The sequence below is a fragment of the Homo sapiens genome, chromosome 1, assembly GCF_000001405.40.
Source record: "Homo sapiens chromosome 1, GRCh38.p14 Primary Assembly".
Taxonomy (NCBI): domain Eukaryota; kingdom Metazoa; phylum Chordata; class Mammalia; order Primates; family Hominidae; genus Homo; species Homo sapiens.
In genome coordinates, this window is record NC_000001.11 from 99,781,963 (window position 1) to 99,797,601 (window position 15,639).

At 40.6% G+C, this 15,639-nt stretch overlaps 1 pseudogene, besides 3 other annotated features; it reads right to left on the reverse strand.

The window, feature by feature from the left end:
* Positions 2,778-2,923, reverse strand: RNU4-75P (RNA, U4 small nuclear 75, pseudogene; annotated as a pseudogene).
* Positions 4,250-4,299: an enhancer, noted in NCBI's record as "active region_1359". NCBI's record gives its function as "activates an Ori minimal core promoter by ATAC-STARR-seq in GM12878 lymphoblastoid cells {active_cell/tissue: GM12878}" and the evidence as "EXISTENCE:reporter gene assay evidence [ECO:0000049][PMID:35858748]".
* Positions 4,460-4,509: an enhancer, noted in NCBI's record as "active region_1360". NCBI's record gives its function as "activates an Ori minimal core promoter by ATAC-STARR-seq in GM12878 lymphoblastoid cells {active_cell/tissue: GM12878}" and the evidence as "EXISTENCE:reporter gene assay evidence [ECO:0000049][PMID:35858748]".
* Positions 4,860-4,999: an enhancer, noted in NCBI's record as "active region_1361". NCBI's record gives its function as "activates an Ori minimal core promoter by ATAC-STARR-seq in GM12878 lymphoblastoid cells {active_cell/tissue: GM12878}" and the evidence as "EXISTENCE:reporter gene assay evidence [ECO:0000049][PMID:35858748]".

Here is a 15,639-nt window from a genome sequence, read left to right on the forward strand (position 1 = left end):
GAGGCTGAAGTGGAGACTTGGCCTGCAGTCAATCAGAAGCTGAAGTGGAAACTTCTGTCTTCTTATCACAGGAGTGCTGATGTGGCCTGTATACTGCCTAATCTTGCCTAGAACTGTCTGCACCTGCTGTTCCTTTGCTTCTGCCTTAACCCTTGGTTACCCTAATTCCCTATTCTCCTGCCTCACTCCCATGCCCAACTGATTTATTTTTATTTTTTTAGAGACAGGGTCTTGCTATGTTGCCCAGGCTGGTCTTGAACTCCTGGCCTCAAGTAATTCTCCTGCCTCAGCCTCTCAAAGCACTGGGATTACAGCCATTGAGCCATCGCACCCAGCCAAGAAGATTTTATGAATCCCTGTAGCTTACTCCATCTATCTAACCACCTCAACACATACACACGCTCCACCTTCTCTCAGCAAATTAGATGAAATTAATGTTAGGCAGGGGTCCACTCCTTCAACTATCTACCTCCACCCCTACAAGTTATTTATATCACATCTAGTTTGTAAGAAAAAGATGTCCCCACTGCAGTTTGAGACCAACTTTTGCATCTATTTTCTTGCTATGATGACATAGTTGTTCCATCTACCTCTTCTGTCTATTCTTGGGGAACCTGAGCACCAATCAAACTAAACTGCTTTCAATTCCCCAAATGTGCAAGCTCTATCATGCATTGGTACTTTTGTTCACACTGCTCCCCTTCCTTCAATGACACTCTCCAAACCCCCACATTGAATGCTGTTGAACCCGTGAGTCAGGACCCAATTCAAAAATCATCTTCTCTATAAAGTCTTCCATGAAACTTACAGTAGGATCAGCCATTCCTCCCTTGTTTCCCACCACATTCTGTGCACTCTCCATCCTGTCATCTATTACTTTTTCCTGCACTTATTGTTTTACATGTCTCCTCCCATTGTTCTTTATATTTTTTTAATTTTTTAAAGAAATTAATAGAGACAGGATCTCACTATGTTGCCCAGGCTGGTCTCGAACTCCTGACTCAAGTGATCCTCCCATCTTAGCCTCTCAAAGTGCTAGTATTACAGATGTGAGCCACCATGACCAGCCCCACTATTTTTTAAAATGCAGAACGTTTTTATATTGCCTTTATTTGCTTTTGTATTGATAGCAGTGTCTAGCACATAGTAGGCATTTAAATGCCTGTTGCATCAATGAATGATGAAACAGAAGAATATCCTTTACCAAAACAATACATATATGATTTTTAAAAAGAGATAGAAGAATAGCACTTGACCTGTATGAACCTCACATTTTCCACAAACATCCTTCCAGTCCCAAGGTTCGGGAGCATAATAAGCAGCACCTGAGGTGGGGCCCAGTGGCTCATGCCTATAATCTCAGCACTTTGGGAGACTGAGGAGGGGAACCGCTTGAGGTCAGAGGTTTGAGACCAGCCTGGACAACATAGCAAGACCCTGACCCTGTCTCTACAAAAAAAAAAAACAAATTAACCAACGTGGTGGTGCATGCCTGTAGTCCTAACACGGTAGAGGGATCACTTGAGACCAAAAGTTTGAGGTTGCAGTGAGCTACGATCGCCACTGTATGCCAGCCTGGTTGACAGAGCGAGATCCTGTCTCGAAAAAAGTAGTTGAGGGATAAAAGGAAGTAGAAATAAAAGCAACTGATATTGTGGGAATTAGACAAGCCAGTCACACAAATGACATGAATGGCATGTTCCTAATAAAAGTAACAAATGCGGCATAAGACTATGACATTGTGCCTGGCCACATCCACACATATGACTTGTATAAGATGAGGATGAAATGATTCCTCAGGAGACTAAAAATTCAGACTTGCTATTTTACTTTGCCTTGTTTTACGTTGATAAACAATCAGGATCTAATGATCTGATTTTTCTATTTCTTGGCAAATCTAGTTTGGCTTTTTTTTTTTTTTTTTTTTTGAGACAGGGTCTCACTCTGTTTCCAGGCTGGAGTGCAGTGGTTCAATCACAGCTCACTTGCAGCCTCAATCTCCAAAGCTTAAGCGATCCTCCCACCTCAGCCCCCCAAGTAGCTGGGACTTAGGCGCACACCACCATGCCCGACTAATTTTTTATTATTATTATTTGTAGAGATGAGGTCTTGCTATGTTGCCCAGGCTGGTCCTGAACTCCTGGGCTCAAGCAATCCACCTGCCTCAGCCTCCCAAAGTGCTAGGATTATAGGTGTGAGCCACTGCATTCAGCCTAAATCTAGTTTGGCTTCTAGCACACTAAAAATCAGAGTTTCTTTAATATTCCAATCCTGGCCTGGTTTTGTTTCTCCTTCTTTCACCACTCACCTGACACTCTCACTCCAGTCTCTTCCCTGTCATCAGCCAACAGCAGGGTTGAGTACTGATCACACCAGTTATCTAGGTGCTTAGGAACGCTGTTTGGTAACCAAACACTTTCAGCTGCCTTCTCTAGGTCTAAACAGCTAACAGACTGTTTTTTGCTGTCCCCAAAGGGCCAAGTTTGCTCTTCTCTGGCCTCTAATGAGGTATTTTAAGATGCTGGCAATAATTCTCTAAAAACAGAGCATTGGATAAATTCTTGATTTGAATTACTGATAACTTTACCCCACCGAGGGCAAGGGAAGCAACAACCAGTGCTATTTCTTTTAACCCTGATCAACATGAAATTTGGTGAATACAGAAAGAAAACTTGAGAGAAATAGACCATGTTTTTCTCAAGACCACGTTATGTTAAAATTTTTAGCCAAGGAAGAGGCCACATTTCTTTTTCTGTTTCTTTGTTCAGTCTCCATATAGACTGTCAAATTCGAAAATTGCCAATGCCGACTCTATTTTTAGTTGTCATGAAGGGATATTGGGAAAAGTTTTCAGTTAGCAATAATCACACCTTTGATAAACCTCACTGGCTACGATACTATGATACTGCCCCTGCACAAAACTAGAGATCACATTTATCACATTTTTCTTTTCTTTTCTTTTCTTTCTTTCTTTTTTTAAACAGATAAACTATTTTATTCTAAGAGAATATTTCTGTGGTTTCTGCAAGGGGAAAACCCAAAAGTGGTTGAAAACCACAAAAGAACCGAAAGAATGATTTTGATATTTCTCTTTTTGTTTTCTTGATGTTTTCTCCTCCCCTGGAGAAAAAAAAGTAATTTTACAAAATTTTAGGAGATAACTTTTTTTTTTTTGAGACAGGGTTTTGCTTTGTCACCCAGGCTAGAGTGCAGTGGCACAATCAGAGCTCACTGCAGCCTCCACCTCCCAGGCTCAAGTAATCCTCCCACCTCAGCCTCCCAAGTAGCTAGATCACAGGCACACACCACCATCCCCAACTAATTTTTAAATTTTTTGTGGAGACGGGTTATCACCATTTTACCCATGCTGGTCTTGAATTCCCACACTCAAGCAATCCTCCTGCCTCAGCCCCCTAAAGCACTGGGATTACAGGCCTGAGCCACTGTGCCCAGCCAGTTTTAGTAAAATTCAAAAAGCAAAAAATTAGACATACACATCAAAAGCTACATTTATGAGGAATGACCAATAATTAATCAATATTTTCTTTTATGAATAAATTTAGGGTTCTGGGCTACTCTGTGGACTAACATGCAAATGAAATCCCCATACAGTCATTTATCAGGGTATTGGTTGTTCTCAGCTAAAAGATACTGATCTGTTTTTCTTTCTGGTACTTTATTGCAATGTTTACTATGCTAACAATATTTGTTTTTTCATACAACTACAGAAGGGGAAAATGTTAGTGTTTAGACAAACCATAAAATTCATATAGTGGGGACTATTTCACTTGATGTTTCTGGACAGTTTCTTGGCAGACTTATCAGACAATCCAATTATTTGTTCTCCATATCAAACAAGGTATGGAAGTAAGAAGTTTTCCAGTCAGAAATGACAAATAGATGGAATTAATTACATAGAACTGGGGCGGATTTACTTCTTTCATTCAGTTTATGGTAACAAAAATGAGATTTGTTATAGGCAAAGACAGAACCATCAAGTACACAATGTCCGAAGGCCTTTTTCATTTTTATTTTACTTAAATGCCTTTCATCTGTCAAAAAAAAAATTAACCCCTGCCACCCCCACCTAAAAAATGGGACATCCTGAAAAGTCTTTCAAACTTAAAATTTCTAAGAGGCTTTTTGATATCTCTAAATTTTGTCATAGGGTCAAATTAACCTCTGCTAAAGCAGTTCTGTGATTGGCCAACATCATAAAAGCTTTAATTCAAAATTTTGTGGGGGCTGGGTGCAGTGGTTCACGCCTGTAATCTCAGCACTTTGGGAAGCCAAGGCAAGCGGATCGCCTGAGGTCAGGAGTTCAAGACCAGCCTGGCCAAAATGGTGAAACCCTGTCTCTACTAAAAATAACAAAAATTAGCCGGGCATGGTGGACACCTGTAATACCAGCTACGCATGAGGCTGAAGCACAAGAATCTCTTGAACCCAGGAGGTGGAGGTTGCAGTGAGCTGAGATCACGCCACTGCACTCCAGCCTGGGCGACAGAGTGAGACTCGAAAAAAAAAAAATTTGAGGGGAAGGAACTGAAAATGGAGATGAGGGAAATGGATCAATATCCCACACACGTCTATGACTTGCAGTAGAGACCACATTTCTTAATTATATCTTTATTCTACTTTTAAAGGGCGTATTTTAAAATGTTTTGGCCCAATGGTTGTCAAAGTGTAGTCCACCAATCAGTAATATCAGCATTTCTAGGGAACTTGTTAGACATGTCTTTGAGGCTCACCTCGGTCTTCCTGACTCAGGAACTCTGGGGTGGGAACCAGTAATCCTTTTAAGGAGCTCATCGGGGATCCTGAGATAAGTTAAAGTCTGACAACCACTAGTCTAGAGAAAAGATTGATATGCTTCCATGAACAAAGACTCTCAGGCAGCAGCTTCCAGGTTCACAAGAACCACCTGGTGCTTTTGTTTCGGTTTTGTTTTCCAATAATCCTAATCTTGTGCTTGTTTAAGTGCAGGTTCCTGGGTTCTCCCCAAGAGAATCTGATTCAGTAGGCCTGAAGTGGGTCCAGAAATCTCATTTTAAGAAACTTGCTGGGTAATTCTGATGCAGGTGGTCCACAGATGACTCTGAGAAGCCATACTTATTGTTTAGCTCTTAGTCCCTAATATAGTCATTTGACACAATTGACCACACCTGCCTCCTGGAAGTACCTTCTGCTCACTAGTCTCTCTAGGTATTATGCCTGCCTTACAGACCACTTAATCTCAGTTTCCTTTACTGAATTCACCTGTTCTTCCCAACCTGCAAATACTAGTGTGTCCAAGGCACACTCTTCATACCTAGTCTCTTTTCCATCCATGCTCACTTCCTTTTTTTTCTTTTCTTTTTTTTTTTCTTTTCTTTTCTTTTCTGAGACAGAGTCTGGCTCTGTCACTCAGGCTGGAGTGAAGTGGTGTGATCTTGGCTCACTGTAACCTTTGCCTCCCTGGCTCAAGCCATCCTCCCACCACCTCAGCCTCCCAAGTAGCTGGGACTACAGGTGTGCACCACCATGCCCAGCTAATTTTTGTATTTTTGTAGAAACGGGGTTTGGCTATGTTGCCCAGGCTGATCTCCAATTCCTAGGCTCAAGCACTCCACCCAACTTGGTGTCCCAAAGTGCTGGGATTACAGGCGTGAGCCACTGCGCCTGCCCATGCTCACTTCCTAAGTGCCAATGACACAAACATATTTAATATATCTCCAGAAATATGTATCAAACAGACACCTCCACTTAGATATTTTAATGACACCTAAATTTAATATGTGCAACACTGAATTCTTGCTTTCCACCTTTCAGAGCTGCTCTACCCCTCCCTCTCACTAATGTTCCTATCCTCACAGATGCCACCACCATATTGTTTCTTCTAGTTTCTCAGGCTAGAACCCTAGAAATCATTCTTTTTATATTCCACTTTTATATTATCACTCCAAATTCAACCCTTTAGCAAATCTTTTCAGCTCTCTCTCTCCCTTTAAAATATGTCCTAAATCAAGCCAGGTGCAGTGGCTCATGCCTGTAATCCCAGCATTTGGGAAGGCCAAGGCTGGCAGATTGCTTGAGTCCGGGACTTTGAGACCAACCTGGGCAATATGGTGAAACTCCATCTCTACCAAAAAATAATGAAATAAAAAATTACCCGGGCATGGCAGCGCCTGCCTGTAGTCCTAGCTACCCGGGATCCTGAAGTCGGCAGATTGGTTGAGCCCAACCTGGGCAATATGGTGAAACTCCATCTCTACCAAAAAATAACGAAATAAAAAATTACCCGGGCATGGCAGCGCCTGCCTGTAGTCCTAGCTACCCGGGATCCTGAAGTCGGCGGATTGCTTGAGCCCAGGAGGTGGAGGTTGCAGTGAGCTGAGTTTGCACCACTGTACTCCTGGGCAACAGAGTGAGACCCCATCTCAAAAACAAAAATAAAAATATGTCCTAAATCTATCTATTTCTAACCTTCTTCACCTTCACCACTCTATTCCAAGCCACCAGTATTTCCTCCCTAGACAACTGTGATAGCCCTCTAATTGGTCTCCCTGATCTTCTCTTGCATGGCAGGTTAGGTGCCCCTTCTAAATTTGCAGCATGTCATTGCTCTGCTCAACACCCTCTACTAGCTTCCCAGCTCACTTGAATATAATCCGAAGTCCTTATCATGACCTATGCATGATCCAGCTCCTGCCCCATTCCCAAACTCAGCACTACCATGCTCTGCCTCACTCTGTTCTCCAACTTTTCTGCCCTCCTTGCTCTTCCTCTATCAAGCCAAACACATTTCCATGACAGGGTCTTTGCACTAGATGCTTCTTCTTCCTAGAATCTACCGTTACCACCCTCGCCCCTACACCAGATATTTGTACCCTCCTCATTCTGTTTCTACTCAAGTATCATATCCAGGAGACCCTCCCTGACTACTTGGATCAGCAAGGGTTCAACTAGAGAAACAGAACCAGTAGGAGATACATATTAAGAAATTGATTGCAAGGAATTGGCTTACATGATTGTGGGGGCTAGCTGGGTGAGTCTGAAATCCACAGGGTAGGCTGTCAAGAAGCATAGGCTGAAACTCTTATGTGCAGGCTGAAGCTGCTGTCCAGAGCTGGAATTTCTTGTTCTTCAGGGAAGCCTCAGCTTTGCTCTTAACTGATTGAATCAGGCCCACAGATTACCTAGGATGATCTCCCTTTCTTGGTGCCACCTGATTATGGTCTTTGATTACCTCTACAAAATATCTTCATAGCAACACCTAGATTAGTGTCTGATTGAATAACAGGACTACAGCCCAGAGAAGTTGACAGATACAACTGATTATCACAGTATTGTATTTAAAATAGAGCTCCTTACCTCGCTTTATTTTCTTCACAGAATTTATCACTTCCTGACATCATTTTTATATGTTTATTTCTTTATTTATGTATTAGCTACCTCACCTACTATAATGTAAGATTCACCAGGAAAAGAATCTTGTCTTTTGATTGATTTAACTAATATTTGTTCGAATGATCTACTTTTGGACATAGTGTTTACTTCTGCAGTTTTATTATTATGACCAATGTTAATATGAAGATCTTCACGCATACACACACACGTATCTTGGGTCTCTTTTCCAATTTTTAATTTTTAAAAGTAATTTTGGTTTTTCCAATCTAGTTTTTCTGTTAGATTTTGATGTCAGGCTTATAGAGATATAATTCTATGTTAAGTAAAATGTGCCCTTTTTAATGTACAGCTCTATGAATTCTGAAATCACATGCAGTCCTGTAACCACCATGATCAAGACAAACAGCATTTCCACCTCCCTAAATATTTCCTTCGTGCCCCTTTGTAGTCAACCCTTGCTTCACCTCGTCTCTAGAAACCACTTGTATTAGTTGGCTAGGACTGCCATAACCAAATAACACAGACTGAGTGGTTTACCTAACAGAAATGTATTGCCTCACAATTCTGATGTCTAGAAGTCCAAAGTCAAGGTCTTGGCAGGGTTGGTTCCTGGTTACATACTCTGAGGAGTATGAGGGAAATATCTTATCCAGGCCTCTCCCCTTGCCTTGCAGATGGCTGTATTCTTTCTATGTCTCTTTGCACCATCTTCCCTCTATGCATATCTCTGTCCAAATTTTCCTCTTTTACAAGGACATCAATCATGATGAATTACAGCCCACCCTAGTGAACTCATTTTAACCTGATTAGCTCTGTAAAGGCCCTATACCCAAATAAGGTCACATTCTGAGGTACCATTTGTTGAGTTAGGACTTCAACATACGAATTTTAGAGCAACACAATTTAATCCATAACACCACTGATCTGTTTTTCTCCATGTAGATTTATCTTTTCCAGACTATCCTATGAACTGAATCATTTATGTGGCCTTTTGCATCTATTTTCTTTCACTTCGCATAATGCCTAAGAGATTCATCCAAGATGCCTGTGTCAGAAGTTCATTCCTTGTTATTGCTGAGTAATATTTCATTGTAGGTATTGTAGTTTGTTTATCCATTCACCAGCTAAAGGACATTTGGGTTGTTTCCAGTTTAGAGCAGTTATGAATAAAGCCACTGTAAACTTCACATACTGGTTTTGTGTGCACATATGTTTTCATTCTTTTTAAATAAATACCTAGGAATGTGACTATAAGTTATATTTAAAATTTTAACAAACTACCAAATTATTTTCCGAAGTGCATCATTGCTCATTCCAACCAGCAATGTGTGAGGACTTAAATAGTTATGAAAATTATACTTTATGACATCATTCAATAACTTAAGGATATTACTTCAGTACTGCAGAAACAATGGAGGCAGGAGGTATGGTTTTAACAAAGAGTTTATCTCTTTAACAAAGAGCTTATCTGCCTATGCTACCTCATCCCAAGAAAAGCTCTCGGTAAATACATTATTCTAAGAGAAAGACAGAGACTCTTCTAACTGAAGCAAGTTGTTTTTAAAATCAAATAATAAAGAAGGATATGTAATAAAAAGTAATTGTTCTGTGTTCCTCTGTCCTCTACCACCAGTCCCTGAACCTGGAGGCGAATCTTTTACATATGTCTCTTTTAGTTCTTCTGGTGGCTACTTCCATTTCTTTTAATAATATACCCTTCCTACTACTTTTTTATATAATACCTTCAGGTATTTTTTATTAATTTCCTGCTACTCTCCCCTGCTCATCTCCACTCTTTGTATGTTCATGTCACTATTTTTAGTTCCTGAATTGGCTACTTTTTTAACTTAATATAATACTCACACTTCTTTTTCTTTCTTTCTTTCTTCCTTTCTTTCTTAACTTAATATAATACTCTTTCTTTCTGTCTTTCTGTCTGTCTGTCTTTCTTTCTTTTCTTGAAACAGAGTCCTACTCTGTTGCCCAGGCTGGAGTGTAGTGGCATGATCACAGCTCACTACAGCCTTCACCTCCTGGACTCCCACCTACGCCTCCTGAGTAGCTGGGACTACAGGCATGCACCACCACACCCAGTTAATTTTTGTATTTTTTGTAGAATTTGGGTTTGCCATGTTGCCCAGGTTGGTCTCAAACTCCTGCGCTCAAGCAATCTGCCCACCTCAGCCTCCTGGAGTGCTGGGACTACAGGCATGAGCCACCACGCCCAGCTCCAAACTTCTTTCTATTAATAATTGTCTCAAATATATATATTATCCTTTGAATTTTTCCTATACAAGAGGGGGATAATAAGGCTGGTCCAAGTGCAGTGATGTTTACAACTAATTAATCACAGATTTCTTTGTCCCTTCTCCACTCCCACTGGTTCACTTGAGTAGCCTTTAAAAAATAATAAAAATAAAAAATAAAATAAAGTTTAAAATAAATAAATAAGAAGAAGATTAGGATAATAGGACCTCCAACATTCCATTTACATTCCCTTCTTATCTTCTGTCAATAACTCCCACATGGTCCAGGTGGATAACATTTATATTCTATTCTGTAACCATAACTATATCATCCATGTTTTGCCTATAAATTGATTTCAAAGTTGAAACTATAAACAGGATTTATATTATGATTATTGACTATTTTAATATTGTTCAATGAAGACTGCTAAGAAGATTAGTAAAGGCTTGCCTGTTAAGGAATGTTTAAAGTACAAAAATAAGGAAGATATCTGCCTAAAAGAGGCAGGTGGTAAATTAAAAGATGGCAGTGGAAAATAGAACTTCTCAACACCTGTTTTCTTCTCTCTTGAACAGAATGATTTTGAAAGTGAAGAGATTAAAACAAACATGATCAGGGGAGAATAAAGGAACGAGAAAGAGGGTGAGGAGCAACCTCTGTATCCCCGGTCCCAGTTTCTTCTAGCCACCGATGTCCTTCACCTGAAGCCTTGGTCTTCCTCAGTTTATAAAGCAGCTCTCAACAGAGAAGGTGTCAAATGATAGATTCAAACAGAGATGCCCTAAAAAGACTGTCAAAAATATGTCCTTAAAGGTAGAGAGCAAGGCCTTCGAAAGCTGTACAGAACAAATGGTGTGGTTCATTAAAATTACTTGGATTTAAATTCATTTAATTTTTTTCATGTTTATTTGTTCTTTTACTCAGTCTCCCTTACACACTATGCACCATGCCTCTATTTAAATGTGAGCTTCAAAAGAGCAGAGGCCTTGTTAGTCTTGTTTTCACTGTGCCCAGAATAGTGATCCACTAAGAGAAGTGCTTCATTCACTTTCTCTGGCTCATTTCTATTGGCATACAAACTGCTGTTTATCTCCACAAAATTTTCCTTGATACTATTTCCTGTACCTGCAACTGCCCCATCACCACGACTTTTTTTTTCCTCTTTGTTGTGGCAAAACATAAGAATTGCTTATATTCCTGGCCAGGTGCGGTGGCTTACGCCTGTAATCCCAGCACTTTGGGAGGCTGAGGCAGGCGGATCACTTGAGGTCAGGAGTTCGAAACCAGCCTGGCCAACATGGTGAAACCCTGTCTCTATTAAAAATACAAACAATAGCTGGGCATGGTGGCGCATGTCTATAATCCCAGCTACTTGTGAGGCTGAGGCAAGAGAATTGCTTGAACCCAGGAGGCGGAAGTTGCAGTGAGCCAAGATCGCACCATTGCACTCCAGCCTGGGTGACACAGCGAGACTCCAACTCAAATTAAAAAAAAAAAAAAAGAAAGAAACAAAAGCAAAGAATTGCTTATATTCCTTGTATTAGTCTGCTCTAGCTGCCATAACAAAAATACTATAGACTGGGTGGCTAAAACAACAGGAATTTGTTTCTCACAATGCTGAAGTCTGAGAAGTCCAAGATGAAGGTGTTAATTTGGTTTCTGAGGTTTCTCTCTCCTGGCTTGCAGATGGCCACCATCTTGCTGTGTCTTCATATGGCCTTTCCTCAGTGTGTGCCCTAGGAGAGATCTTTCTCTCTTTCTCTTCTTAAAAGGCCGCTAATCCCATCGTGAGGACCCACACTTATGGCCAAATCTAACTCTAATTGCCTCCCAAAATCCCCATTTCCAAATAACATCACAGAGAAGGTTAGGGCTTCAACATATGAAAGTGGGGGAGACACAAACATTTGGCCCATAACATTCCACCACTGGCCCCCCAAAATGCATGTCCTTATTTGAAGGGGTGGCCTGCCCCTCCACACCTGTGGGTATTTCTCGTCAGGTGGGATGAGAGACTGAGAAAAGAAATAAGACACAGAGACAAAGTATAGAGAAAGAACAGTGGGCCCAGGAGACCGGCGCTCAGCATACGGAGGACCTGCACCGGCACCAGTCTCTGAGTTCCCTCAATATTTATTGATTGCTATTTCCACTATCTCAGCAAGGGGAATGCGGCAGGAGAACGGGGTGATAGTGGGGAGAAGGTCAGCAAGAAAACATGTGAGCAAAGGAATCTGTGTCACAAATAAGTTCAAGGGAAGGTACTATGCCTGGATGTGCAGGTAGACCAGATTCATGCTTCTCTCCACCCAAACATCTCAGTGTAGTAAAGAGTAACAGAGCAGCATTGCCACCAGCATATCTCACCTCCAGCCACAGGGCAGTTTTCTCCTATCTTAGAATAGAACGAATGTACGATCGGGTTTTATAACAAGACATTACGTTCCCAGGGGCATGCAGGAGACAGAGGCCTTCCTCTTATATCAACCGCAAGAGGCCTTCCTCTTTTACTAATCCTCCTCAGCACAGACCCTTTACGGGTGTCGGGCTGGGGGATGGTCAGGTCTTTCCCTTCCCACGAGGCCATATCTCAGGCTGTCTCAGTGGGGAGAACCCTTGGACAATACCCAGGCTTTCTTGGGCAGAGGTCCCTGCGGCTTTCCACAGTGCATTGTGCCCCTGGTTAATCGAGAATGGAGAACGGTGATGACTTTTACCAAGCATACTGCCTGTAAACATATTGTTAACAAGGTACATCCTGCACAGCCCTAGATCCCTTAAACCTTGATTCCATACAATGCATGTTTCTGTGAGCACAAGGTTGGGGCTAAAGTTACAGATTAACAGCATCTCAAGGCAAAACAATTGTTCAGGGTACAGATCAAAATGGAGTTTCTTATGTCTTCCTTTTCTACATAGACACAGTAACAGTCTGATCTCTCTTTCTTTTCCCTACACTTATTGTATGCAAAATAAGCCATTCTGATAGCCCCTAAAGTATTTTTTTATTATTATTATACTTTAAGTTCTGGGTTACATGTGCAGAACGTGTAGTTTTGTTACATAGGTATACATGCACCATGGTGGTTTGCTGCACCCATCAACCCATCACCTACATTAGGTATTTCTCCTAATGTTATCCCTCCCCCAGCCCCCCCAACCCCCACAGGCCCTGGTGTGTGATGTTCCCCTCCCTGTGTCCATGTGTTCTCATTGTTCAACTCCCACTTATGAGTGAGAACATGCAGTGTTTGTTTTTTTTGTCTTTGCGATAGTTTGCTGAGAATGATGGTTTCCAGCCTCATCCATGTCCCTACAAAGGACATGAACACATCCTTTTTTATGGCTGCATAGTATTCCATGGTGTATATGTGCCACATTTTCTTAATCCAGTCTATCATTGATGGACATTTGGGTTGGTTCCAAGTCTTTGCTATTGTGAATAGTGCCACAATAAACATACATGTGCATGTGTCTTTATCGTAGAATGATTTATAATCCTTTGGGTATATGCCCAGTAATGAGATAACTGGGTCAAATGGTATTTCTAGTTCTAGATCCCTGAGGAATTGCCACACTGTCTTCCACAATGGTTGAACTAGTTTACAGTCCTACCAACAGTGTAAAAGCATTCCTATTTCTCCACAACCTCTCCAGCATCTGCTGTTTCCTGACTTTTGATGATCACCATTCTAACTGTCATGAGTTGGTATCTCATTGTGGTTTTGATTTGCATTTCTCTAATGACCAGTGATGATGAGCATTTTTTCATGTCTGTTGGCTGCATAAATGTCTTCTTTTGAGAAGTGTCTGTTCATATCCTTTGCCCATTTTTTGATGGGGCTGTTTGCTTTTTTCTTGTAAATTTAAGTTCTTTGTAGATTCTGGATATTAGCCCTTTGTCAGAAGGATAGATTGCAAAAATTTTCTCCCATTCTGTAGGTTGCTTGTTCACTCTGATGAGAGTTTCTTTTGTTGTGCAGAAGCTCTTTAGTTTAATTAGATCCCACTTGTCAATTTTAGCTTTTGTTGCCATTGCTTTTGGTGTTTTAGACATGAAGTCTTTGCCCATGCCTATGTCCTGAATGGTGGTGCCCAGGTTTTCTTCTAGGATTTTTATGGTCCTAGGTCTTATGTTTAAGTTTTTGATCCATCTTGAGTTGATTTTCATACAAGGTATAAGGAAGGGGTCCAGTTTCAATTTTTTGCATATGGCTAGCCAGTTTTCTCAACGCCATTTATTAAATAGGGAATCATTTCCCCATTGCTTGTGTGTGTCAGGTTTGTCAAATATCAGATGGTGGTAGATGTGTGGTGTTATTTCTGAGGCCTCCATTCTGTTCTATTCATATATATATATATATATATATATATATATATATCTGTTTTAGTACCAGTACCATGCTGTTTTGGTTACTGTAGCCTTGTAGCAAAGTTTGAAGTTAGGTAGTGTGATACCTCCAGCTTTGTTCTTCTTGCCCAGGATTGTCTTTTTTGTTTCCATATGAAGTTTAAAGTAGTTTTTTCCAATTCTGTGAAGAAAGTCAGTGGTAGCTTGATGGGGATAGCACTGAATCTATAAATTATTTTGGGCAGTATGGACATTTTCACTATATTGATTCTTCCTATCCACGAGCATGAAATGTTTTTCCATTTGTTTGTGTCCTCTCTTATTTCCTTGAGCAGTGGTTTGTAGTTCTTCTTGAAGAGGTCCTTCACATCCCTTGTAAGTTGTATTCCTAGGTATTTTATTATCTTAGTAGCAATTGTGAATGGGAGTTCACTCATGATTTGGCTCTCTATTTGTCTGTTATTGGTGTATAGGAAGGCTTGTGATTTTTGCACATTGATTTTGTATCCTGAGACTTTGCTGAAGTTGCTTATCAGCTTAAGATTTGGGGCTGAAACGATGGGGTTTTCTAAATATATAATCATGTCATCTGCAAACAGAAACAATTTGACTTCCTCTCTTTCTATTCAAATACTGTTTATTGCTTTCTCTTGCCTGATTGCCCTGGCCAGAACTTCCAATACTATGTTGAATAGGAGTGGTGAGAGAGGGCATCCTTGTCTTGTGCCAGTTTTCAAAGGGAATGCTTCCAGTTTTTGCCCATTCAGTATGATATTGGCTGTGGGTTTGTCATAAATAGCTCTAATTATTTTGAGATATGTTCCATCAATACCTAGTTCATTGAGACTTTTTAGCATGAAAGGCTGCTGAATTTTGTCAAAGGCCTTTTCTGCATCTATTGAGATAATCATGTGTTTTTTGTCATTGGTTCTGTTTATGTGATGGATTACGTTTATTGATTTGCGTGTGTTGAACCAGCCTTCCATCCCAGGGATGAAGCTGAATTGATTGTGGTAGATAAGCTTTTGGATGTGCTGCTGGATTCAGTTTGCCAGTATTTTATTGAGGATTTTCACATCAATGTTCATCAGGTATGTTGCCTTGAAATTCTCTTTTTTTGTTGTGTCTCTGCCAGGCTTTGGTATCAGGATAATGCTGGCTTCATAAAATGTGTTAGGGATGATTCCCTCTTTTTCTTTGATCGCAGTAGTTTCAGAAGGAATGGTACCAGCTCCTCTTTGTGCCTCTGGTAGAATGGCTGTGAATCCATTTGGTCCTGGACTTTTTTTGGTTGGTAGGCTATTAATTATTGCCTCAATTTCAGAACCTGTTATTGGTCTATTCAGAGATTCAACTTCTTCCTGGTTTAGCCTTGGGAGGGTGTATGTATCCATGAATTTATCCATTTCTTCTAGATTTTCTAGTTTATTTGCATAGAGGTATTTCTAGCATTCTCTGATGGCAATTTGTATTTCTGTGGGATCGGTGCTGATATCCCCTTTATCATTTTTTATTGCATCTATTTGATTCTTCTGTCTTTTCTTCTTTATTAGTCTTCCTAGTGGTCTATTTTGTTGGTCTTTTCAAAAAACCAGCTCCTGGATTCATTGATTTTTTGAAGGGTTTTTTTGTGTCTCTATCTCCTTCAGTTC